General features: G+C 37.5%; 2 long non-coding RNA genes across 4 annotated transcripts in view; one reads left to right on the top strand and one right to left on the bottom strand.

Moving 5' to 3' along the window:
- The window catches only part of LOC124901595 (uncharacterized), a 60,261-nt gene extending 44,283 nt beyond the window's left edge, over positions 1-15,978 (top strand). The window contains exon 4 of the long non-coding RNA XR_007060239.1: positions 15,898-15,978. This is a non-coding gene — a long non-coding RNA (uncharacterized LOC124901595). The remainder of the gene's footprint in view (positions 1-15,897) is intronic.
- The window catches only part of LOC105375170 (uncharacterized), a 31,345-nt gene extending 15,318 nt beyond the window's left edge, over positions 1-16,027 (bottom strand). For all 3 annotated transcript variants that reach the window (XR_007060237.1, XR_927067.3, XR_007060238.1), the window contains exon 1: positions 15,818-16,027. This is a non-coding gene — a long non-coding RNA (uncharacterized LOC105375170). The remainder of the gene's footprint in view (positions 1-15,817) is intronic.
- Between the last annotated feature and the right edge of the window lie 10,918 nt (positions 16,028-26,945).

Below are 26,945 nucleotides of genomic sequence, written 5' to 3'. Positions count from 1 at the left end.
AAATTATCAATGAAATAATTCTAAAAATTATTCCAGAATTGAAGGACCCATGTTTTCAGATCAAGATGCTCCAGCTAGTAACCTGAACAATGGAGAAAAAGGAACTCACAGCAGAACATCTACCTGGAAAATGCAACCACTTTGGGAAAAGGGGAAATACTAAAAGTTTCAGAGAACAGAAGTGTGTCACATACAAAAGACCAACAATGAGAATGGCTTTTAACTTTTCAATATCAGCTCTAGATGTTAAAGACAATAAAAGAAAAATGATTTCCAACTACTAATAATCCAGACAAAGTGTAAATTAAATGTGAAAGTAGGCAATCCAATTGGCCATAGAAGTGGATACCTGAATCTAAATCTCTCCACATAATTTCCAAGAAGGAGGAGGAGAAGGGGAGGAACAGGGAAGAAAAGAAAAAGGAGCTCAAATCAAATGAAACTTGACCCACATTTTCAGCATTACTAAGAGACCAAGAATACTATGAACTTCAATTTCCCTTCATATAAAGACACAAACAATTCCAGCAGATTTTCACTGATTGGGAAAGGTAGGGTAGAAAGCCTTTAAACACTTCGTGTAAAAGAAAAAAAATATCAGGGGACTTTTAAATAAAGCAAAGACAAAATTACCCTTAGAAAGAGAAAAGTCCAAAGCTAAATACCAAAATACTGAACACAGGTCTGGAACTGGAAAGTTCACAGCGACAGCTACAGGGAAGGGGTTTACAACTGAGCGAGTTGGAAATTGGCAACATTGAAGCATTGCTTCTGGGGGAAAGGGAAAAAAATAGAGAAGAGGAAATGCCCGTCATAGACTGTCAGTGAAGTGAAAGCAGGAAGCAAGCAGGAAAAATTAAGGAGCATGCAGAAATAAAAACTATCACAGTACATGTAGACCCTTCTTATTTCCTATCTACCACCACTCATCACCAACAAAATCATCTATTAGTGATATTTAACTTTATTACACTCACTGAAGAGAATATGCTCAACCTAAAAAGCCCATCAAGAAAATGCATAAGAATAGAAGCAAAACAAATTAACCCTATACAATGCTATTGTAAAAAAAAAGATATTACATATCATAAAAAATTTCCACCACAAACAACCACAAAGCAGAAGAAACTATAATATAACCTCAAGTCTTAATTAAATATCTTCAAATAAGCATTTAGATATACATATATAATTTCTAATAAAAAATGCAAAAAGTAAGCACAGAAGTATACAAATAAAGAAAGAAATGCAATGAGTTGATAGATCTCAGGAAAGAAATTACACAGATAAAATATCCCTAAAATGAAGAATAAATTATAAGGTATCCAAAGGAAAATAGATTTAAGTGACACATTACTAAGGAATAAATGCGAGAAAGAAGCCAAGAAAATGAAAATAACATAAAGAACTTTTAAAAGTCAGAGAGAAGGAGGTTGGAATCTAAGGTAGACAAATATTCAATATATGTACACTTAGAATCCCTGAAGAAGAAAAACAAGACAATGAAACAGAGCTAATATTTAAACCAATAATCCAAGAAAATCTAAATCTATACATTGAAAGGGCTTCCTGCGTACCTGGAAAATTTTACTGAGGATAATTGAACTTGAGAAATAGCCTTGCAAAATATCAGACTTTTTAAAACAGAAAGAACAAAAATCCACATGCAGGCCCTCCAGACAAAAAAGAGCAAATTAGGTATAAGAGTAAGACAAGCCAACCATAATTCTCAAGAGCAACTTACAAAGAAAGCCAACAATAGAGTGACATTTTCAAGAAACTTAAATGTTGTGGGAAGTCAGGGACCCTGAACAGAGGGACCAGCTGAAGCCACGGCGGAAGAACATAAATTGTGAAGATTTCATGGATATTTATTAGTTCCCCAAATTAGTACTTTTATAATTTCTTATGCCTGTCTTTACTGCAATCTCTGAACATAAATTGTGAAGATTTCATGGACATTTATCACTTCCCCAATCAATACTCTTGTGATTTCCTATGCCTGTCTTTACTTTAATCTCTTAATCCTGTCATCTTCGTGAGCTGAGGAGGATGTATGTCACCTCAGGTATCTGTGATGATTGTGTTAACTGCACAAATTGTTTGTAGAGCATGAGTGTTTGAACAATATCAAATCTGGGCACCTTAAGAATAGGATAACAAAAATGTTCAGGGAACAAGGGAGATAACCTTAAAGTATGCCTGCCTGTGGGCTGGGTGGAACAGAGCCATATTTGCCTTCTTTCAAAAGCAAATGGGAGAAATATCGCTGAATTCTTTTTCTCAGCAAGAAACATCCCTGAGAAAGAGAATGCGTCCCTAAGGTGAGGCCTCTGAAATGGCCACTTTGGGGACGGCTGTCTTTTACAGTCGTAGATAAGGGATGAAATAAGCCCCGGTCTCCTGTAGTGTTCCCAGGCTTATTAGGACAAGGAAATTCCTTCCTAATAAATTTTGGTCAGACCGGTTGTCTGCTCTCAAACCCTGTCTCCTGATAAGGTGTTATCAGTGACAGTGCGTGCCCAAAACTTCATTAGCAATTTTAATTTTGCCCCGGTCCTGTAGTCCTGTGATCTCGCCCTGCCTCCATTTGCCTTGTGATATTTTACTACCTTGTGAAGCATGTGATCTCTGTGACCCACACCCTATTCATACACTCCTTCCCCTTTTGAAAATCACTAATAAAAACTTGCTGGTTTTAAGGCTCAAGGGGCATCATGGAACCTGCCAACATGCGATGTCTTCCCCGGATACTCAGCTTTAAAATTTCTCTCTTCTGTACTCTTTACCATTATTTCTCAGACCCGCTGACACTTACGGAAAATAGAAAAGAAACTATGTGAAATATCAGGCACTGAATTTCCCCCGATACTTAAAGAAAGCAAAACCCAGAGATTTTATATCTAAGCTGAAATTGAAATATCAAGACTATAACAAAATAGTCTTAAAAGTACAGAAACTTAGGAAATAATGAACCTATAAACCTTTGACAAGAAGTCTTCTAGAGGATGATCTTCATGCAACCAAGAAATAATATTAATAGTAGTAACAAGAAAACATACTGGTAGTGAACATTTAATATGTTTAACTAGAAATCTATGAATAAAACAAAATTGAGAGTATAGGTTAAAAAAATAGCATATAAAATCATAAGTTCTGACAAAGTAGAAAGAATGCATCTATAAAATATGTAGAAAAAATATAAATAGGCCGGGTGCAGTGGCTCACGCCTGTAATCCTAGCACTTTGGGAGGCCGAGGCGGGCAGATCACGAGCTCAGGAGATCGAGACCATCCTGGCTAACACGGTGAAACCCCATCTCTACTAAAAATACAAAAAATTAGCTGGGTGTGGTGGTGCATGCCTGTAATCCCAGCTACTAGGGAGGCTGAGACAGGAGAATGGCGTGAACCTGGGAGGTGGAGCTTGCAGTGAGCCAAGATCGTGCCACTGTACTCCAGCCTAGGCAACAGAGCAAGACTCCATCTCAAAAAAAATTAATTAATTAATTAATTAATTTAATTTAATTTAAAATTAAAAAATTAAAAATAAAAATAAAATATAGGCTAATGAAGAATATAATAAATTGTTGTATAGTTAAAAGAGAAAGTCAAATGATGCCATTTAAAACTATCAAGAGGTTAAATAAGAATGAAAAAAGCAAAACTTTTTTTTTTTGAGACAGGGTCTTGCTCTGCCGCCCAGGCTCACTGCAATCTCCGCCTCCCAAGCTCAAGCAATCCTCCCATCTCAGCCTTCTGAATAGCTGGGACCACAGGCATGGGCCACTATGCCTGGCTAATTTTTGTATTTTTAGTAGAGATGGGGTTTCACTGTGCTGCCTAGTCTGGTCTCAAACTCCTGGTCTCAAGCAATCCTCCTGCCTTGGCCTCCCAAAGTGCTGGGATTATAGGCTTGAGCCACTGTGCCCAGCAGAGAAAAATCTTTTTAATTTTGGGTTAGCCCAAGTGTTTTTAAACACCATTAAAACACAATCCAAAAAATAAATAATTGATAAATTGGACTTCATAAACATTAAAACTTTAGCTCTGTGAAATATCCTGGCAGGAGAATAAAAAGACAAACAACAGACAGAAAACATTTACAAATCACATATCTGAAAAAGAACTTTTATCTAGAATACATGAAGAACAAGAACTCTCAAAACTTGACAGTTTGAAACAACCCAATTAAAATATAGCCAAAAGACCTGAACAGACACTTCACCAAGAAGACATACACACAGCAAGTAAAAACATGAAAAGATATTCAACATTATTAGTTATGAAGGAAGTGCAAATTGAAGCCAAGTACTGAGTAACTGGAACTCTCATATATTGCTGGTGAAAAGGCAAAATTGTTTGGCAAATTGTTTGAAAGTTGCTTGAAAAATTAAACATACATTTACCACATGACCTAGCAAGCCACATCTAGGTATTTACCCTGAAGAAATGAAAAGTTATGTTCACACAAAGACTTATGTATAAATGTTTATAGTAGAATTATTCATAATCACTAGAAACTGGAAACAACCCAAATGTTTTTCAATGAATACATGAATTTTTAAAAATTGTGGATGGAATGCTATTGGGCCATAAAAAAGAGTAAAATCCTCTCATTCATGGCAACACAGATGGAACTTTAGAACTCTATGTTAACTGAAATAAGCCAGGAACATAAAGTTAAACACCACATGTTCTCACTCGTATGTGGAAACTAAAAAAAGTTTATCTCATAGAAGTAAAAAGCTCAGTAGAAGTTATTAGAGGCTGGAAAGTGTAGGGAGAATGGGGACAGGAAGAGATTTGTTAAAGGACACAAAATTTCAGCTAAATAGGAGGAACAAGTTCTAGTGTTTTATAGCACTGTAGGATGACTATAGTTAATAACACTATATATTTTCAAATAGCTAGAAGAAAGGATACTGAATGTTCCCAACACAGAAAAATGATAAATGTTTGAGATAACAATATGCTAATTACCTTGATCTCATCACTACCCATTGTATGTATCAAAACATCACTATGTACCCCATAAATATGTACAATTATCATATGTTAACTAAAATAAATAATTTCAAATTGCAGTCTATCTATATAATGGAATATAAAAAAGCAATGAACTATTGATACATACAAAAACATGAATAAAGCGCAAATGCATTATATAAGTGAAAGAAGTGAATTTCAAAAGATTACATACTGTATGATTCCATTTATAAGATGTTCTGTAAAAACCAAACAGTACGATACAGTCACCTACAGGTCATAGTGTTATCAGAATCAATAGGTACCAGAGTTTATGGACAAAAGGAGGAATTGACTTCAAAAGGGACTTTTGAAGAAATGTTTTGAGGTGATAAAACTGTGTCCTGACTGTAGCGATGATTATATGGATCAACATATGTTAAAAGTCACAGAACTATACATCAAAAAAGTTAAGCTGTCTGTAGATAACTTTAAAATATTTTATAGGAAATTGTAAATTAAAAGAACCTAAAAATACATAATTAATTGCAATGCATAAACCTAGATTGGACATTGTTGTTGTTTTTCTTTTTAGCAAAATAGTAAAAAGCCTTTTGGTGATAACTGTGAAAATTTGAATTGAACCTGACACTAGATTTTCATAGGTGTGTAAGGGTACTATGTTTTTGTAATAAATTACGATCACTTTGGGGAGATCTATGTTGACATATTTTGGTGTAAATTTCACAATGTCTACTTATCTTCACATGGAAAAGCAAAAAAAAAAGTGAATATATACGTTTGTAGATGTATGAAACCTAGGTAGATGCAGGTAACTATTTTAGTATTTTTTCAAATATTTGTGTTTGAACAATTTTATAGTAAAAAGTTTAAGAAAAACATATCACAAACAAGTCAAAAAGCAGTTCATTTTGAGAGTGTACAAAAGCTTAGTCATGTAACAAAAAATTACATTTTATAAATTTCTGCTTATATAACATCTATGGAATGAAGCAATAATGATCTTCAATGAAAAAAGAGGTGTACTGGAAGGATGGGGACCAGGTTTATTCATCTCTAGTAAGGTGTGAATAAGAGGAAATACAGGGTGCATTGCATGGTTTGCTCACATTCACTTCTAGGAATCTTCCTACTTCTCAAGCTGAGTTGACTTTTGTGGTTGAGTGGTATGATGAAGGCCCAAGTGAGGCAAACAGTATAAGGAGGAAGGAAATGTGTTAACCTATCATACTTTCAGTAAACACCAATGCTTCCAAGCTAATTAGGTCTTGTGTGCCAATGCACGTACTTTCATTCAGCTCTTCATTCTGTGATATGCTTGTGACACCAATCTGTACTGTCAGTTCTCTTCTCAGCTGATGAATAGAGTGGTATGGAATGAAATGGAATGAAAAAGAAAGGAAAGGGGAGGGAAAGGGAGAGGAGTGGGGGAGAAGAGAAAGGAGAGGAGAGAAAGGGAAAGGGGAAATGAAAGAAAAGAAAAAGAGTAGAACTTCCTTGGGTGATTTCACAGAAACTCAGACACAATTTAATTGAGTAAATGCCTTTTATTTTCAATGCTATCACTTTAAAACAGTTATAATTTTTTCTTACCTGTGAAGTGGGCATACCCATAGCATCTACCTTATCAGGTTGTTGTAAAGGTTATGATTTATACAAAAGTGTTTACTAAAGTGCTTGGCATTTATATAAGTTCTCCTATTATATAACATCTCCATAAAATTACATAACATCTCCTATTAAACATTTAGGAGATGTTAGTTGAGCTGTTGTTATTAAGATTGTGGCAAAGAACTTGAGCTAGGGTAAGATAGGTCTAGCTTTATTAATAGATTCAATCATTCAGGTCTGAAGGAGTAAAAATGAGGCCTGACGCTCCCAGGCACCCACATTATAGCTCTATCAGCACTCGATGAGGTCTTCTGTCCACTAGACCTGTCAACTGGACATAACGAAAAAGAAAAGAACTGTAATTATAACAACCCTCATTTATCAGGCTCTTCTATCTGCCATGAACTCTTTCAAGGGCTTTACTTGTATTAAATTATTTAAAACTTACAGGTCTTATAAAATATAATTAAATCCTATTTGAAGGATTTTATAGATGAGGAAACAGGGGCAGACAGCTTAAGCAACTTGCCTAAAGTCATGGTCATACTTAGTGGCATAGCCTGGGCCCCAGAGTTCATGTTGGTAACTAGAACTAGACTCTCAGGTTCACAATGGTTTCAATTCCACCTTAAGTTCCTAGGTGTCAAGGGAGTGTGGAATGAGAATTTTCTCACTATGTCTTTGAAGAGGCCACTTGTCTCTTGCAAAATTTCCTAAGAATTGGCCTCCTAAGTGCAGACCCAAGACATTTCCTGGAGTCCCAAGTGACAGGGCTCATGGGCTGCCAGCTTCATCAACAGCAGCCCTGCAGATGCTAACTATTTATACTTTGCCACAGCTTGGAGCTACTTATCAGTGGGGAGTGTGACTGGAAAGCTTCAAGGTAAATACAGTCACTAACACATAGTGCTTAAGAATGTAGATTCAAGGTCAAACAAGCACAAATCTCCAGATCTGCCATTTGATAGAAACGGCAAGTACTTAACCCTTTTAACCTCAATGTTTTTATCTGTGAAGTGGGGGTAAGAAAGACAGCTACATGATAAGGCTGCTCTAAATGTGATCATCATAATGACAATAATAATTAAATAATGCACATAAAATGCTTACCACCAGCCTGAAACTGCTCAATAAGGACTATTATTTTCATGATTAAGGTTTTTATCTCCCTTCAACAAAGTAAGCATCAAAGGAACATGCCTCCAAATAATGATAAAACCCATCTATGACAAACCCACAGCCAATATCATACTGAACAGACAAAAGCTTCAAAAATTCCTCTTGAGAACTGGGACAAGACAGGGATGACCACTCTCACTACTCCTATTCAACACAATACTGGAAGTTCTAGCCAGAGCAATCAGGCAAGAGAAACAAATAAAAGGCATCCACATAGGAAAAGAAGAAGTCAAACTACCTCTCTTCACAGGTAATATTATTCTATACCTACAGAACCCTAAAGATCAACCCAAACAGCTCCTGGAACTGATAAACTACTTCAGTAATATTTCAAGATGTACAAAAATCAGTAGAATTTCTACACACCAATAACGTTCAAGCTGAGAGCCAAAACAAGAATGCAATCCCATTTACAATGCCACACAAAAAAAATGAAACTACCTAGGAATACACCTAACAAAGAAGGTAAAAGATCTCTACGAAGAGAACTGCAAAAGCACTACTGAAAGAAATAACAGATGACATAAATAAATGGAAAAACATGCTATGCTCATGGATTGGAAGACTCAATATCAGTAAAATGGCCATAATCCCCATGTGTCACAGGAGGGACCAAGTGGGAGGTAATTGAATCATGGGGGCAGTTTCCCCTATGCCATACCACCCAAAGCAATCTACAGATTCAATGCTACTCTATCAAACTATCAACATTATTTTTCAAGGAATTAGAAAAAAACTATTTTAAAATTCATATAGAACCAAAAAAGAGCCCAAATAGCCTAAGCCATCCTAAGCAAAAAGAACAAAGCTGGAGGCATCACATTATCCAACTTCATACTATGCTATCAGGCCACAGTAACCAAAACAGCATGGTACTGGTACAAAAACAAGACACATAGACCAAAGCAACAGAACAAAGAACGCAGAAACAAGGATGCACACCAACAGGCACCTGAAATTCAACAAAGTCAACAAAAATAAGCAATGGGGAAAGAACTATTCCATAAATGGTGCTGGGATAGACTGCTAGCCATATGCTGAAGAATAAAACTGGACCTCTGCCTTTCACCATGTACAAAAATTTACTCAAGATGGATTAAAGATTTAAATGTAAGACTTCAAACTCTAAGAATCCTAGAAGAAAACCTAGGAAACACCATTCTGGACATCGACCTTAAGAAAGGATTTATGACTAAGTTCTCAAAAGCAATTGCAACAAAAACAAAAACTGAAAAGTGAGACCTAATTAAAAACTAAAGAGCTTCTGCGCAGCAAAAGAAACTCAATAAAATAAACAGACAACCTACACAATGGGAGAAAATATTTACAAACTCTCACAAAAGTCTAATATCCAGAATCTATAAGGAACTTAAACAATTGAACAAACAAAAAACAAATAAACCTATTAAAAAGTGGGCAAAAGACATGAACAGACACTTCTCAAAAGAAGGCATACAAGCAGCCAACAAACACGTGAATAAATGCTCCACATCACTAATTATCAGGAAAATGCAAATCAAAACCACAGTGAGATACCATCTACACCAATCAGAATGGCTATTATCAAAAAGTCAGAAAATAACAGAATAATAACAAGTAACAAATGCTGGCAAATAACAAATAACAAATGCTGGCAAGGCTGCAGAGGGAAAAAGGGAACACTTACACACTGTTGGTGGGAATGAAAATTAGTTCAACCACCATGGAAGGCAGTTTTGGGATTTCTCAAAGAAATTAAAACAGAACTGCCATTGACCTAGCATTCCCATTACTGGGTATATATCTGATATGGTTTGGCTGTGTCCCCACCCAAATCTCATCTTGAATTGTAGTCTCCATAATCCCCATGTGTCACAGGAGGGACCAAGTGGGAGGTAACTGAATCATGGGGGCAGTTTCCCCTATGCTATTCTCAAGATAGTAAGTTCTCACGCAATCTGATGGTTCTATATGGGGCTTCCCTCTTCGCTAGGTTCTCATATTTCTCCTTCCTGCTATCATGTGAAGAAGGACGCGTTTGCTTCCCTTTCTGCCATGACTGTAAGTGTCCTAAGGCCTCCTCAGCCACGCTGAACTGTGAGTCAATTAAACCTCTTTCCTTTTTAAATTACCCAGTCTTGGGTATGTCTTTATTAGCAGCATGAGAATGGACTCATACAATATCCAAAAGAAAATAAGTTGTTCTATGAAAAAGACACTCATGTTCATCACAGAGCTATTCACAATAGCAAAGATATGGAATCAATCCAGGTGCCCATCAATGGTGGATTGGATTAAAAAAAGTGGTACATATATGCCATGGAATACTAAGCAGCCATAACAAAGAGTAAAATCACATCCTTCACAGCAACATGAATGCAGCTGGAGGCCATTATCCTAAGTGAATTAATGCAGGAACAGAAAACCAAATACTGTATGTTCTCACTTAGAGTGGGAACCAACCATTGGGTACCCATAGACATAAAGACGGCAATAACAGACACTGGAAACTACTAGAGGAGGGCAGGAGGGGAGCATAGGTTGAAAAACTATTGGGTACTATGCTCACTACCTGGGTGATGGGATCCAACACACCCCAAACATTAGCATCATGCAATATGCCTATGTAACAAACCTGCACATGTACATCTTGAATCTAAAATAAAAGTTGAAATTATAAAAAATTGTATCTCGTTTTAGTTTCTTGCTATAACTATCTTTCTCTCCCACTTAACCTTATTTTAAGTGTGTTGCATGACACTGGGTTTAATATGATAAATCGCCTCAATTCAGTCCTTTTTACAAGTTAAATAGGATTCAAGTAATTTAAAATTAGGTAGGTTTGTTGCTAGTGATAGAAAAACATGTTTCCAGCAATGGGTAATGTGTTATTATAAGTATATATCGGAGGAAGAGTTGCGCAAAAGATAAAGGAAGCGGAAAACCCAATAACTCAGTCTTACCTTGCCATATAGAAACAAAAATGGTTGCTCAACAGCTGCAGGAAACTCAGCAACAAAATTCAAATATCTCTGTCAATAACAAGACTTAGTTTTCCTCTCCATCTCTACTTTTTGTGTGTTCCTCCTCTCTTCTCATACTACTTTCAGCAGCATCCTCATTTTCTACCCTATGTCTTTTACTCACCTACGCTTCTGTTCATTTATGGTTTCTGCCATCCTCTACTTTTGTCTTATATATGGTCATCATAGTCTGACTCTGACCATTTCTGCTGACTTTAGCTTTAGCTTCCACTGCTAACTGATATCCATCTGGATGTTCTACTTCAAACTGGTGATATAGAGATGCTGATTGACCTAGATCTTCTTTTCATACCGGAACATGTCAATCATAGGCCACTAACCGTTAGTCTATGCATTGACTGCACTGGTTAGTTTCCCACCTTTGGTCTAATTAGTTGTGTTGCAATAGGTAGCGTCATATGGTACAAATAATTGAGCCTACTACTGTCCCTTCAGCAAGATCCCTGATGTATCAATTATTAATATCTTATAGGTCCCAGTGAGTATGACAAGGTACTATGCCCTTATGGACTTAAGATTTTAGAATCTTAGAAATGGTCCAGGCTATGGAGGCATTCATACCAGAAAAAAACTACTCTTTAAACCCATTGTCAAGGTGACTTTTAATGAATAATTTTTACTTTGTTTCTGTTAGAAAGACTGATGCATCCACTCTTTCTGACAAATTTCCTGACTCACAATGTTAAGAATATCCTCATATTTGTATAGTTTTACTTTGTCAAAATTAGTTTCAGCAGCATATGAAAGAAAAGCCAACTTAACAAAGGCTTAAACACAAAAGGCATTATTCTGTCCTATAAAGAAAATATGAAGGCTAGCAGTCCAATGCTGACTTAGCAGATCCACAAATTCATCAGTGTTTTTGTTTTATTTTTATTTTTTTATTTTTTGAGACGGAGTCTAGCGCTGTTGCCCAGGCTGGAGTGCAATGGTGTGATCCCCACTCACTGCAAGCTCCGCCTCCAGGGTTCACACCATTCTCCTGCCTCAGCCTCCCGAGTAGGTGGGACTGCAGGCACCCGCCACCATGCCTGGCTAATATTTTGTATTTTTAGTAGAGACGGGGTTTCACTGTGTTAGCCAGGATGGTCTCGATCTCCTGACCTCGTGATCTGCCCGCCTCGGCCTCCCAAAGTGCTGAGATTGCAGGCGTGAGCCACCGCACCTGGCCAAATTCATCAGTGTTTTGCCTTGTGCAATTTTTCATTCCAATATCCCTACAGTGAGGAGCCTCATCTCCACCATCCAAAATAGCAACTAGAGTGTCAGCCATTACACCCATGTTCCAGTAAGCAGGATTGACGAGAAAAAAAGGAAGAATCTGAATCTTTCCTTTTAAAAAGTATAATACAATACTGCCTCTTACCGCTTATTTGTCAGACTTTGTGACATAGCTGCACAAGGATGCAAGGGACGCTGGGAAATATAATCATTTAGCTGAGTCAATAGGCCCTTAAAGTGAATTTGCAGTTTTATGTTGGAGAAGGAGAAGAACAATGGATTTCTTGAGATAATCAGTGGTCTTTGTGATAGCCTGCGCTTTGGGTTATTCAACTCCTTCCATGTGCATTCCTCTCCTACAAAAAGAACACGCTTCCTCTCCAGCAGAGATGAACCAAAGTCACCCCCAGTTACTGCATCTAGCTCAAAGTCCAGGATCTCTGGGTGATGTACAGTTCTCTCCGTCAGGTCAAAATGTTGGCTGTCATAACCCGGTGATCTGATTACTGAGAAAATCCTGCCTGAGGCAAACTTGCTACACTGTGGCAGAAAAGGAACAGCAAAACAGTAATAAAGCCTCCCAGATGGAAATGAGAAGGATGACCAACACAGCACACTCACTGGCTGAAGCAATTATAAAATCCATCTGGGTAGAGTTGAAAGATGCCCAGCCCTAGCAGTGAGGTTGGTTCCTTGGTTTACCCTTCTTGTAGCCTCTGGTTCTGCCTTCTGGGAAAGCATTCTTAGCCATTTTCTGTAACCCTTTGGCCTTTTCTCCTGGGGGACTTCTCTATGTCCACTATCAGCTATGGACATAGTGAACTAGGTTCTGGAGTGAATGGCCTACTGGGGACAAGCACAGCTTTCACAGCTGCCTTCCAACTGGGACCCAAAGCCCACTCAAAAGGTTTAATTGTCACAGGGCACTGTAGATCAAGTTTGGGGTCTCTTTGCCAATGTTATTCTTCAAATCTTAGTAGGCTTCTATTTGTTTCCAGTCAGTTCCACATACAAATAACCAAGATCTTGTGTGTACTAAGTTTTTCAGCCTGGCAACTCTCATTTTTATTTGCTGTCTTCTCTTCATTATCTATTGCCCTCTCTCTCAAATGAGCGGGAGCCACTAAGACACTATTTGATAAAACAGGCTTGGATGGGAAAATAAGAACCCTAAGCTAATACTTTCAATCTAGTTCCCATTGTCTGCAGAGAGCTCTTGCTATAAGCTTGCTTGCTATAGCTCTTGCTAGAAGCTCTTGCTGGCACTGTATTACCTCCTACTAAGGAGGGCTACTTAGTTTCCATCACCTATAAGTGCTCTGATTTGAGCTACGGGAAAATAAGGCTTTTTCAAAATTTCAGCACCTCAAATTACAGGACACACAAGCAATTTATGCCACAGGATACTCTCAGAGACAGCCTCTGTAAAAAACGATGTGTTTCCTGTCTGGCGTACTGTAGTCCGAGCTCCTCTCTCACTCCTTCAGGACTTTGCTAAAAATGGCAAAAGGTACACAACACCCACCAACATTCTGATGTTTTCCTACCATTTCCCTCCCTTTTGCTTTCACTCTAATTCACATGCGGTTTGACTTCCAAAGGATAAAACGTGAGCATGTGACCAGATATTTTCCTATGCCATATTAAGAGTTATTTGTTGTCCAGCCTTTGTTATCTGAGTACCCACTACCTAAATGCCTCCACACGGCTAGGCCAGCCCACATGTTGTTGAGTTCTGTTATTGCACCCCACCTCCAGATGCCAAATTCTGTATTTGTTAGGATTCAGTTTGTGTACAAATAAAACATCCCAACGTAACAGAGTCTAAACAAGATAGGGTTTGTTTTTCTCTCATATAAAAGAATTTTCGGCCGAGCGCAGTGGCTCATGCCTGTAATCCCAGCACTTTGGGAGGCCGAGGCAGGTGGATCACCTGAGGTCAGGAGTCCAAGACCAGCCTGGCCAACATAGTGAAACCCCATCTCTACTAAAAATACAAAAAAATTAGCCAGGCGTGGTGGCGGGCGCCTATAATCCCAGCTACCTGGGAGGGTGAGGCAGGAGAAGTGCTTGAACCCAGGAGGCGGAGGTTGCAGTGAGCCAAAATTGCGCCACTGCACTCCATCCTGGGCAACAAGAGTGAAACTCCGTCTCAAAAATGGAAAGAAAGGAAAGGAGAGGAGAGGAGAGGAGAGAAGAAAGGAAAGAAAGAAATTTCTGGGGGCAAATATGCTAGGAATCCCCCCAGAGCAAGGAATAAGCATGCTTACTGTTCAGTCTACAAAAAATAATATCCCTCTGCAGAGCAAGGCCAGGCCTTCTGATTTGCCCATTATAAAACACTTTGGTTCCTAGATTTTGGGTTCATCTCATGTAATGCAATTCACTGCTTGTATCTGGCCCTCTTCATGTCGCCCTGTGGGAACTGGAGTTCAAGGGAACACTATAAATGCTGCTACTTAGCAACTGTGGCTGCTATGAGTAACACAGCCTCGTGTTTCTGACCCAGGAGTTGCGTGTCTTCCTTCAGCATCCATAGAACTGTGAGAGGCTAATTTCTTAGCTTAGCACCAATTATTAGGGCGAAATCTCAGACCCATCCCAGTTCTCGTTGGATAAAATAGATAATAAATATTAGTTCTGTTTCCAGGGTGAAAATTATGCTCAGGGAAGTAGTCCGAGTCACCTAAAATCACATAACTTATGAAATTTCTTCTCACCCTCATCCAGCATACATTGCCCCACCCATAGTTGCTTCTGTGGAACCAGAAAATAGTTTTGGTGAAAGTTGTGGAAAGTGGCTATTTGTCTTAGAAGCAGGTCCTGATACTAGGATGAGGCAAAACTGTCTCTCAAGGTGCAAAATGTATCCAGGCACTCAAACTCAGATGCTCAGCCTGCACTTACATGAGGCTGAGAACAAATGCCTCCTTAAATACTATGCCCTACGACATTATGCCAGGAGAAATAAAGCAGCCACAGAAGGACAAATACTGCATGATTCCATTTATATGAGGTATCTGAAACAGCCAAACTCATAGAGGCTGAGAGTAGAATGGTGGCTGTCAGGGGCTGAGGATTAGGGGAAAGAAGAGTTGTTGTTCAACAGATACAAAGTTTCAGTTACGCAAGATGAAAACTTCTAGAGATATGCCGTCCAACGTTGTGCCTATGATTAACAATATTGTATCATACACTTAAAAATTAAGAGGGTAGATCTCAGGTTAAGTGCTTTTACCACTACTATCAGACACACACACACACACACACACACACACACACACACACACAGGCTGACAGCCTCACTTAATCCTGGCCCTGCTTAGGAGTCTTCCAATCCAGTACTTTTTATGTCTTTAGATGGATTTCCTTCTCACCTACAAATATCCTTACGTTTTCCAACCCCACCATATCTGTCCTCAAAATCTGTAATTTGAAACAAATCTAAAACATATTCACCCAGTATAAAATAACTGCCAACCACTTAACACTATACTCCCAGCACTGTTCAATACTGAAAGTAAGCTTTTGCCAAAGAAGGAGCAGTAAGAGTAGAATCTCAAGGATTCTAACTAGAATTCTACGCTTCATGTGAAATACCTGAAAGAGAATTTATGGTTGGGAGGGACACTGATAAAATACTTTTATGACACATAAAAATCAGACCACTCCATATTACCAGATACCAATACCATGTTTATCCCTTAAATCTAGAATCCAATATATCAAGGTTATTAATAGCAAAAAGAATTTTTTAAAGAAATCTTAACAATTAATTTCAGAAGCAGAGATGACCTTATTTGTCCTTTTAAAAATGGATACAAGTGAAGGTTGAAAAGGCACTTCTATTCACAGTCATTCTCCCTTTGGTCCAGCCACGGGAAGAAATGAAAGGATTCTCCATCAGCCAGATGGTGTGAGCGAGAAGTCAAGTGAAGACAAACCTTCGATTCTCCCTCTGCCTGGAAGCTGCTGGCATCTCCGTCCAAGTGCTGAACAAATGGGACTTTGTGTGCTCTCATGAGCGATCTCTTTGATGTTCTGGCATCCCGATTGGCAGCTTTTCATATCTGGCCATCTTAGAGCAGGGGAGATTGAGAAACAGAGAGAGGAAGAACCAGGGAAAGAAGTCTGGCTCCAAGCCCAGTGGGTAAACATGCTGGCTGCCTTCTCACACAGATTACTTTTCAAAAATGAAAAGGGAGTGTCCAGCTTCGTTTGGAATAAAGATGAGGAAATGACTCTCAGCTGTCCACACACAACAAAACAACCAACCACTACAGAGTAGGGGAGCCTTCCATCCAAGGTAGACCAGATGGGATTTGTCTCCCAGACCCAGAATATATGTTCCCCTTCAAGAATGTTTATACTGATAGTATCCTGAGGTTGGGGACATTTTAATGAGATCCATAGTCCTTACTTTCTGCAAAGAATACACAGTCACAAACTTTCCTTCAGGACAAGAGCAGCTTTGCTTTCCTGAGTGCTTTCTAAATCTAATTATATAGATGGAGGCTGTGTGGCCTTTTGTTTTGAGTTCAGAATTATGGGTTTGAAAGTCTGAGGTCCAATTGTAGTTTTATACCTAACTTCTTGTGTGGCCCTTCACAAGCAATTATTTCCTGTCTTATTTTTCTGAACTGTTGATGGGATTAAGCTGGTAATAGTGGAGGGGGAAGGGGTTTATATCTAGTTTTAAATTCTTAGAATTGATTTCAAGACAACAAATTATCAAGCATCTACTCTCAACTTAGTAGTGGGCTAATAGAAAGAAGAAAAATATATAGAAGAAAACTATAGGGACTCTGTATTCAAGAACCTTGTAAATGACTTGACAAAACTTAAGTATCATACATAAGCAAGGCAGTATCCAGTCCAATATATATAATTGGATAACATTAGCTATAAATACTGTAATAATTAGAAAAAAATTAACACATTACTATTAGTGGGGTTATTTGGCATAGGTTTATAAAACAGAATAAATTTCAGATTAACTGTAAGAAGAAAGAAATAATGTATTGACTTGTAAAGAGGAGAGGCAGTCAAAAAAAATCATTCCATCTTTTAGATAAAAAATGAGCACCAAATGGCTTTATCATGGTTAACATCGAGGTTAACCAAAATATGATCTGATTATCCTGAGTAGTTTGGAGACCTATTAAATTAAAAACAAATGCTTATGAAGAGATACTTTGCCAAATTTCTAGTGAGATTATAGCAGGATTACCACAAGGTAAGTGACTTTTTAAGATATTGAGCCACTGTATCTGGTCCCCTGACTCCTAACATCATCCCAAAGTATTTTTTTACCTACTGTTTCTTCATATTTGTATTTTCTGTTTCCCAAAATGACAGTGTGTTTAAGCTTTGCTTAAAAGGCTTAAAGTTGTATGCCTTAAGTTTATACAATAAAAAATCAATTTTAAAAAAAGGTCATTGAAAGTCTCTTTATGTGAAAGATGTAGCAATAATATGACATTTCTCCCATTTTCTTATAACTTTTCTAGAAACTAACACACATCCTTACTTTGTATAGTTGTATGCCTTGTTTGTGAGAAGTCTTTTTCTTCTAAAATTCTTAGGACTTCACCAAATTTGCAGTGTTCCCACTCATGTCATCTGTGCCAGTCATGTTTTCATTTTCAACACATTGTACATACACGGACACACATACCATATTCACTTGCCACAAATAAGTTTTAAGTTTAACACATCTTAAAAGAGCTTTCAATGGAATCAAAAGGAAAGTTAAAGAAAGCATAAAGCCTATTCAATTTGATTGTCTCATCATCTCTCTGTATAGATACTACTCTAATTTCTTCTAAATATGTAGTATATGATCCAGGACCTGTTATTAAAACTGGATAAGGCAAAACATAAAAATAAAAATAAACTGGATAAGGCAAAACACAAGCCTAGAATAAAGTGACCTGCATTTACACTCACAGATCTGCTAATGATTACATATCCTAAAAGTAACCTCTGAGAATATGCAATCATTATGTGCTCTAGAGATGCAGCTATTCTAAAAGAGAGGAGAGAGAGAAGAGACCTTATAAAATGAAGTCCATAAGTTTAATCTTCAAAGTTAAATTTTATTTTATTTAAATAGAAGTGAAACTCAACACTGGAGCTATTTATCATAGTGATCAACCTGTAACTAACTAATTTTTTAGAGACATCTGTAGTACCATTAAGGAGTCCTGTCAACTCTCTCTGACACTTGACACTCTCTCTTGACAACGTCTTACCCTAAAGCAGAAGATGGTAAACCAACTCACCAGTGTAAAAGATAATATTTGTTTGGAGTCATAGGCAATTTTTAAGAGAGACAGCAATAAAGAATGTTTTCTAATTTAAAATTGACATGGTTATTTCCAGACAAGACAGAGCAAGAGGGACTAAATTTATCCCCTCCCATGAAACAACTAAAAATATGGACGTAATATATGAAACTGTGATTTCCAGACATTGGACATCAGGCAGCATAGGACAGTGACCCAAGAGACAGGAAACAAAAAAAAAAGAAGTGAAGTCCCTGTCATTGACCCCGCTTTCTACCTGGAGAGAGTTTCTGGGCCACAGTTCGGGGAATAGAAACCCAGGAGGAGACTGGTAGAGTCCCAGAGCTGAGGAAACAGAGCTGGGAGGCCAAGACAGCTAGAGTTCATAGGCAGATTCCCAAAAGAAAGCCACACACAAGGGTGTGCAGAGGGTCCCTTTTGAGCCTTCAGCTGAATTCTGATCAGCACACAACTGAGGAGAAACTATGCAAGTCTAGCAAAAGAAGCCCCTCCGGGATCAATATTTGAAGATCACACGGGGACAGGTATAGACTGGGTTCCCACCAGCCCAAGTGGAGAAACTTCATAAGTCACAGGACATCAAATTGAGCATTCAGAAGGATATCACCTCAAGAGGCAGACAAATTAGCTCTAGGCTAAGGGCTGTTCTAATCCCACCTAACAAAACTTAAAATTTACAAGGTTGAGATCATTTATTTCTCATCCTTGGGGAGAACTATCTTTGAGAATCATCTGGTTCTTCAATCAATATTCGTTAAGTATTTAAAGATTGAATAGAGATTTTGACTTTGTCCAAATTTCAGCTCTGATTCCTGTTATACCCGTGCAAAGGAGGATATGGTGAGAATAGCACAGATGTGGAATAAAGTTTGAAGTTTTTTTCCATTTAGCAGGAGATGAATCCAACTCTCTGGATAAAGTCATAGGACCTAATGTCCCCATAAGTTCAACTTGTGATGGCAACATTGTAAACTGTGTACTTCCTCATTTTGAAAGGACAATGTACCCATTGTTCAGTAGTATTATTACATGGTTCTTATGCAATTATCCACATAATATAATTAAGGCACTATATATATATATATACACTATATATATATATAAAATATATATATACTATATACTATATATATATATAATAATATATATATATAATATAACAGAGACCATGCTGTTGATCTTTCCACCCATGACATTTGCTTACAGCTCAATTCACTATTAATGAAACCATGAATTTAATAAACTTAGTAATGTTGCCATCAGATTTGGAAGCTTGGTTTCTGAGGTTGGTCTCATAAACCTTTTGCTGAACAGAAATTTTTTTTTAATTGGAGGATTTCATAGTCTTATTTGGAAAACAAAAAACAAACAAAAAGTTGTGAATTCACTTAGGATTTCCCACCTGTTCTGATAAAAAATTATATATTCCTCAGAAAAACCCTAATGACAAAAATGCTAAATTGTTCACACTTGCCACCTCCAGCAAGCATGGAAGGGTGCAAGATCCTGTAGCAACATGGCTGCTATTCTTTGATTTCTGAACCCAGTTGCTATGGCCATAGAGTAACTTCTGACTTCTCTGTTAGTAGATTCTATTTTGAGAGACTTCTTGAGAAGTGGTTGGCTGTAAGATTTCAGGGGCTGCCTGGGTAATATTGGAGCCAGGTGCTTCTCTTCCCTGCCCTCTCACTACTGGTAATTGCTTAGCCCCCCTCACTGAGGTTTTACACAGATGACAACAAGCCTTTGGATGAAAACATATTCTTCTTTGTTATCTTTAACTCATAGTTATCCTTAGCTTAGGAGAAGTCACCGGGATGACTCTGACCATTATCCAATGGGGAAAACCACAACTTCTTGTGTCATTCCTGAATTCAACCATAAGCCAGATAAAGGCCAAATACAAGGAATATAGGAGGAAAAATCCAGAGATCACCTCTCTCTGGCTTCAGTCCATTTCAGCCCTTATTGAGTGTCTACCACTTTGAGAGTCAATGCAGGGAGGGAAGAATGAATTAGAGTCTGTTTACCCTTATCTGATATGGGCTCTGAAATGTTACTCACACCTGGGTACCTGTTCACAATGCTGGAAAGGTCTGTCTCCTTTTTCCTAGGTGATGCAACTAGCCCTTTTTCTTGCAAAAGGAGAGGCTCATATTAACTCATATCTAGTTAAGAATTCATTCCAAGAACATGAGATAAAAGGAAAAGTTGAGATCGATTCATCAAGCCCAGAGTTTAGAAGAAATTTCCAATTGATTTGAGTTTCTTTCACAGGTAGTTTTGTTTTGTTTATTGTTTTTTGTTTTGTTTTGTTTTTTGAGACGGAGTCTCACTGTTACCAGGCTGGAGTACAGTGGCGTGATCTAGGCTCACTGCAACCTCCTCCTCCAGGGTTCAAGTGATTCTCCTGCCTCAGCCTCCCAAGTAGCTGGTACTACAGGTGGCACACACCACCACGCCCAGCTAATTTTTGTATTTTTAGTAGAGACGGAGTTTCACCATGTTGGCCAGCCTGGTCTCGATCTCTTGACCTCATGATCCACCTGCCTCAGCCTCCCAAAGTGCTGGATTACAGGTGTGAGCCATGCCACCCAGCCCATAGGTAGGTTTTTTAAATGTATTTTTAAAAATCTGAGATTCTTTATAGCATAGTACCTTTTATAGTAAAGAAACTTTTATCTGAAGTGTAGCATTTTCTTCAGTTCCTTTCATTTCTTTCTTCTGTTAAATTGTAGTAAAATTAAATGTAAACTCATTATTTTAAAATAGCACTATAGTATGATCACATTTTTATAGCAAAGTCTCTGCCCATCTGCCGACCCAACTACCCAAATATATATATATATTTTTTTTTACATCTTCAAACTTGAATAGGGTTTTGGGTTTTCCTTGGTTTTTTATTTAGGATGATTTTTATTTATTTATTGATACCTTGCTATTCTCAAATTTCTATTCAAAATACAGCTGTTTCATTTTTTAAAGACAAGCAAAAAAAAAAGTAAAATTTTAAAAAATCCTTGTAAAGACATCAAACTATTTAAGGACTCTTTAGAAAATGTGTCCCTAGATTGCTGGTTCAAGGGCTGCAATATTGAGTGTAGATGTGGGTCTCTAGAAAGGTAAAACTAGCATAAAACCATTTTGAGAGAAGCGGCCACCCTCTCTTCAGATTACATCATTACACTTAGCACACACCAGTCTCAAACATGAGGACTCTCAGGCATTACCCCGTAACTACTGTCAAGCAATCTTTTCTATACATGGCCTAGACTATGATCCTAGCTTTTCCCTTTTAAAGTCCCCTCCACAAATAAAAACAAAAGGCTTTGTACACTACCCACTTATTAATTCCTACATGTCAAACAACAGTTTACTGTCCTAAATGCATGATGAATTAATCTCACAAGACACTGGGTAGCTGTGTCAAGCCTATTGCTATGGCACCCAAGAGACAAAGATTTCTGAGGTTGTCAGTGGTAATGGATATAGCAACAAATAGAAAGCACTTTAGTACTATACTGAGACTTTGAGACAACCAATAGAAAAAGCAGTTAGAAATTCAGACAAGCCTGGAAGCAAGGTGAAGAAATCCTGAGAGAACTATGTAGAAAAACAGAGACTATAATTACAGAATAAAAGGGCTTTTTTTCTGGATCATATTTTATTACCACCCCAAATGAAGCTCATAAAAATACAGAAATTTAGAGAATGTACACAAGCTTAAAGTGTGAAGAAGTGGCAGTATCTATATAATATTACTATATAATCAGGAGGTAGTTGTGGGAATCCTTAAATTTAGAAACTTATTTTGTTAATTCTGAAGATATTTTATTTGAGTGGCTTTCCAGAATTAAAAAAGAATAATAATTAGGAAAAATTGTGGTAAGAAGTGATAAAGAAAAAATATTGGTAAATATTTTATTCACTGGGTTACATTATGAAATTTTTCAAAGAGAAACAAACGTATGTCTGGATTCTGTACTAATAGAACCAAGTCTTGAATCACAGCAACATAAACCAACACCTGAGGACCAAACTATCTTTATAGAGAAGTAGCAGAAAACATGAGACAAAATCTGGATAGAGAAGTCAGATCATATGTTACACTCCAAATAAGAGTCTATTTTCAATGACCAAAAATAAGAAATAGAATAAAGTGATATGGTTCTTAAAACACCGTTAAGCTCTACAGAAAGAGCACCCAATATATTAATGGACTGTTGATTTTAGAACAAACAATTGTTGAAGTCTCCATCTATACAACACACAACTGTCCACAACAGGTACTGCCACCTATTTAATAGTATTAAAAATATGTTGGGTACCTGTCTACTTTGAGCTAGCTCTAAGAAAATTACCCAAAGTCACAGGGCATTCTCTTCCAGTTGCCCAACCTGTTTAAAAGTGGCTGTGAGCAGGTGGGGATAAAATTATGCTCTTACTGAACTCATGCCTCTCTGCATTTCCCACCCAAGTATGATTTCAAAGCATGTGAGAGTTTGTGTCTTTCATTTGCTCTCCTCCCCAGATAATTAAGATTTCGTTATATTTAGGAAAACTGCCTCCTTGGTCCCTTGTAAATTCCAGGAACTCTAATTTAAGATCAAACCTCTAAGGAAAAGTCCACTCATTTGTAAAGCCTTTTTTGTGTGTATGTCTTTGATAAAAAGTCTAATTGGCTCCATTTCTTTTTGAACATTTTGTTTATCCACCTAATTATCCTGGGAAAACTGACATGTTTACCAAGTTAAACTAAACAATTACACAGTAGAACAGACCCATAAAACAAGGACCTCAGGAGGAGCTGAGGATCTATTGGCAACTGGTTTGAGTTTGTCTTATTTTAAAAACATATCATATTCAGAGAATTAAATTCTCATAAAGGAAAGAGTACATCGTTAAGTGCAGCTATTAAGGCAAAGTTTGTTTTATGAAGTACGTGATCATGGTAGGTCCATGTAAATCACCATAATTAAAATGCAGTAGGCATTCATGTATTTAACAACATTTACAAGCTTGTTTTAATCTATCTTCTTTGAATTCAATCAGCAATTTATCTTTTAGATAGTTGATGCCCAGACTTGCTGCAGCATAGTGTCCTCTGCTGGTCACACTGAAACACTGCACCATGAGGAAAACAGAAAGGAAGGTTAAAAAAAAAAAAAAAAAAAAAAAAGAGTGACTGCGAGGGAATGGAAAAAGGAGAGAGGCAGAAAGGGAAGAAAAAAGGAAAGGAAAAGAAAGTAAATAAATATGTTAAATTGAGACATATAATCTTTAACCCCCAGGATACGGCGCACATTAAAAATATAGTGTGTTTGCCTCATAGTTATGGTTGCTTAGTAAATTGAGATTGTGCTTTCATTGGAAAGAAATGTTTGTCAGACTTGAAAGATTAAACAATAATATTGGATTGAAACTGTTCTGAAATTATTTTCTGGTGATGTCAAATTAATTTAGAAGATTTTCAAAGTTAAGGTGCTCAAAAATTACCAATCATCAGAAGATGCAAATCAAAACCACAATGAGATTACCATCTCACACCAGTCCAAATGGCTATTATTAAAAAGTCAGAAAATAACACATTGGCAAGGTTGGGGAGAAAAGGAAACACAACACAACTGTTGAGAATGCAAATCAGCTCAGCAACTGTGGAAAGCATTTTGGAGATTTCTCAGCGAACTAAAAACAGAATTGCCATGTAACCCAGCAATCCCATCACTGGGTATATACCCAAAGGAATATAAATCATTCTACCAAAAAGACACCTACACTCATATGTTTATTGCAGCATTATCACAATAGCAAAGATATGGAATCAACCCAGGTGCTCAGCAGTGGTCACTTGGATAAAGAAAATGTGGTGCATATATACCATGGAATACTACAAAGCCATAAAAAGGAATGAAATCATGTCCTTCACAGCAACATTGATGTAGCTGGAGACTATTATCCTAAGTAAACTAATGCAGAAACAGAAACCAAATACTGCATATTCACATTTATAAGTAGGAGCTAAATATTGGGTACTCACGGACACAAAGATGGGAACTACAGACAATGGAGATTTTAAAAGTGGGGAGGTAGTGACAGGAACAAGGGTTGAAAAGCTACCTATTGGGTACTATATTCACTACTTGGGCAACGAGATTATTAGAAGCCCCAACCTCAGCATCACACAATATACCCAGGTAAAAACCTGCACATGTACCCCCTTGAATCTGAAATAAAAACAAAAATTATATTCAAAAAAAAAAAAGAGGGAAGTTAACTGTCAATGAAATACAGTGACATCCTCTCCTTCCCATCGTGTCAATCCCCTTCCCCCAGACCAAGATTTTCACATTTTAATGGACATCAAGAACCTCCTAGGGAGCTTGTGAAAAATACGAATGACTTTTGCTCTATGGTTAAGGATTCTGATTCACTGTACTATAAACTTCAGAATATTCATTTTAATATTTGCCTTTAGAAGACAATGGTGCAGATATTTTATTCCCCTCAATTAGAATACAAGAGCCACTGTGTACCTGGCCTCTTTGTTCAGGTTACTAAGAACCCCAACCTCAGTGCTCCAGGAGGGTTTATCTTATCCAGGTATTTGCATGTCATCATCATCATCAACAATAACCATATTTGCTATAATTTATCAAATATTTCCTATGTATCAGGCACTATATTACCATTTTCCTTACATATTCATGTTCCTTAGACAGTTATGGCTTTGAAAATGCCTCTGCTTTCTTTAATATCAAATTCTGCATGAAAGAAAGCTAGACCATACCTAGTACATAACTGACCTCAACAAATGTTAGTTTTGCTTCCCTTTCTCCATGTTCGTTGTTATTTTAGATTGAATAATTAACTGTAGATTAACTATATCAAGATCCTTATTAATATTGACAAACTCCTTGTTGTTTTCCATAATTGCTCAAAGGTCAAGTTTCATGGAACACAGACATGATTCCCTGATTTCGGAAGAGATTTTAATTTTCTTCAAAACATTTTGAAAACGTGTTTTGATAGCATTAATAATGTTCAAAGAACAACTGGGAACATACCTGCATTCTCTGAAATGCATTTGTTTGTGCCTCATTCTGCTTTTCCCTCTCTCTGGTACGCAGTTACGTGTCTGGTCAGTTGCCTCTGCATTCTTTGTGTGCTAAGGAGTGACAGCAGACAAACTGATGCAATTGCATTCAAGTTGAACTGAATTCCTTTATTTCATGTCAATATAGAACCTGATTATTTCTCAGTAGCACCATTAAACAGACATCAGCAGGTTTTGGGATAGAATTATTTCATACCACTTTATGTAATTTATCTAGCACATGTAGGGTCATGTGTATCTCATAAAGCTGGTACACTTCAATAAGAAAAAGGAGTTAGCTAGTAGAATGAATAGGAGCCCAGAAGAAGTTACCAAATTGAATTGATGGAGACTCATTTAGGTGCAAGTTGCATAAATTTACTGAAACTGGCTTAAAGGGAGAAAGGTATCTTTATCGGCATGTGTAACACAAAAATCAAGGAGTGATACAGCATTAGGCAGGTTAGATTCAAGTTCTACAAAGATGTCCCCAGAAAAGTTGCTTAATCCATCTATCAGCTTTCTTTTCCTCTGTGTTGGTCTCATTCTAACATAAGCTCTTTTTCTTTCTCTTTGAGGAGTTAGAGATGGCCCCTCAACAATCTCAGAAAAAGAGACAGTCCCCCTTGCAGGGGTTTCAGTAAAAGACGTTGGTTGAGTCATTTGTTTGTCCCTGAAGCAACCATTGAACAGGAAAGGAGAACATACTAACCAGACCAGGGTCCTGTGCTCAGCCCTAGGAGGAAGGGATGGAAGCTGCCAGCAAATCACACTGAAGGAAAATGGGGCGAGAAACTGGCAGGAAAAGAAAATTGCTTACTGGTCAGATACACCCTCGTGAATACTCACAGAAGACATTTGTCAAAAATAAAAAGATTCATAATTCTATGACTTAAGAATCTGGAAGTGAATGTAACTCAACATGGTTGGAGAACCAGCAAAAATGCTGTTCTGGTTGAGTAAGTCTGAATCTCAAAAGAGGAGTAAAGAGAGGGGGAAGCTAAAGACTCCAGTAAAGATACACAGAAACCATTACAAAAAACAAAGCACACTAAGATGCCTAACTTTCAAAATAGAAAGAATGTCAATATACTTTTATAGTCAATAAAATGGACTTATTACTCATGCTTGAAACAAAAAGGTGGTTAAAAACCTAGACTTATTTCTCAAGACGAATGTGTTTTTGAAGGACATAAAAAAGAACTCTTGAACTCCTAGTTAGCTTGTTTTCTCTGAGTTTTAGCAGAGATGGCTCATTGCTACCCAATAGCTATTCTCATCTTCTAAGTAATAGAAATCCATTTTCACTGAGGTTGCAATGCCCCTGGACGAAGGTTGCATTTTACAGCCTCTCTTATAGCTGTCCTTACAAATGATCATTAGAAAGCTGTGGCCATTGAGGAAGTTCTGGTAAGAGAGGGTAAGCAGGGTACTTACAGAAAGCTGGCTTGGTGGTGAGATGTCTTGTTCCTTCCACTTCCAGCTGCCTGGAAGATGGAGGCAATGGAAGGAACTCCAGCAG

This window comes from Homo sapiens, chromosome 7 (genome assembly GCF_000001405.40).
Source record: "Homo sapiens chromosome 7, GRCh38.p14 Primary Assembly".
NCBI classification, from domain to species: domain Eukaryota; kingdom Metazoa; phylum Chordata; class Mammalia; order Primates; family Hominidae; genus Homo; species Homo sapiens.
Note: the sequence above shows the minus strand (reverse complement) of the source record. Positions and strands in the feature narration are given on the sequence as shown.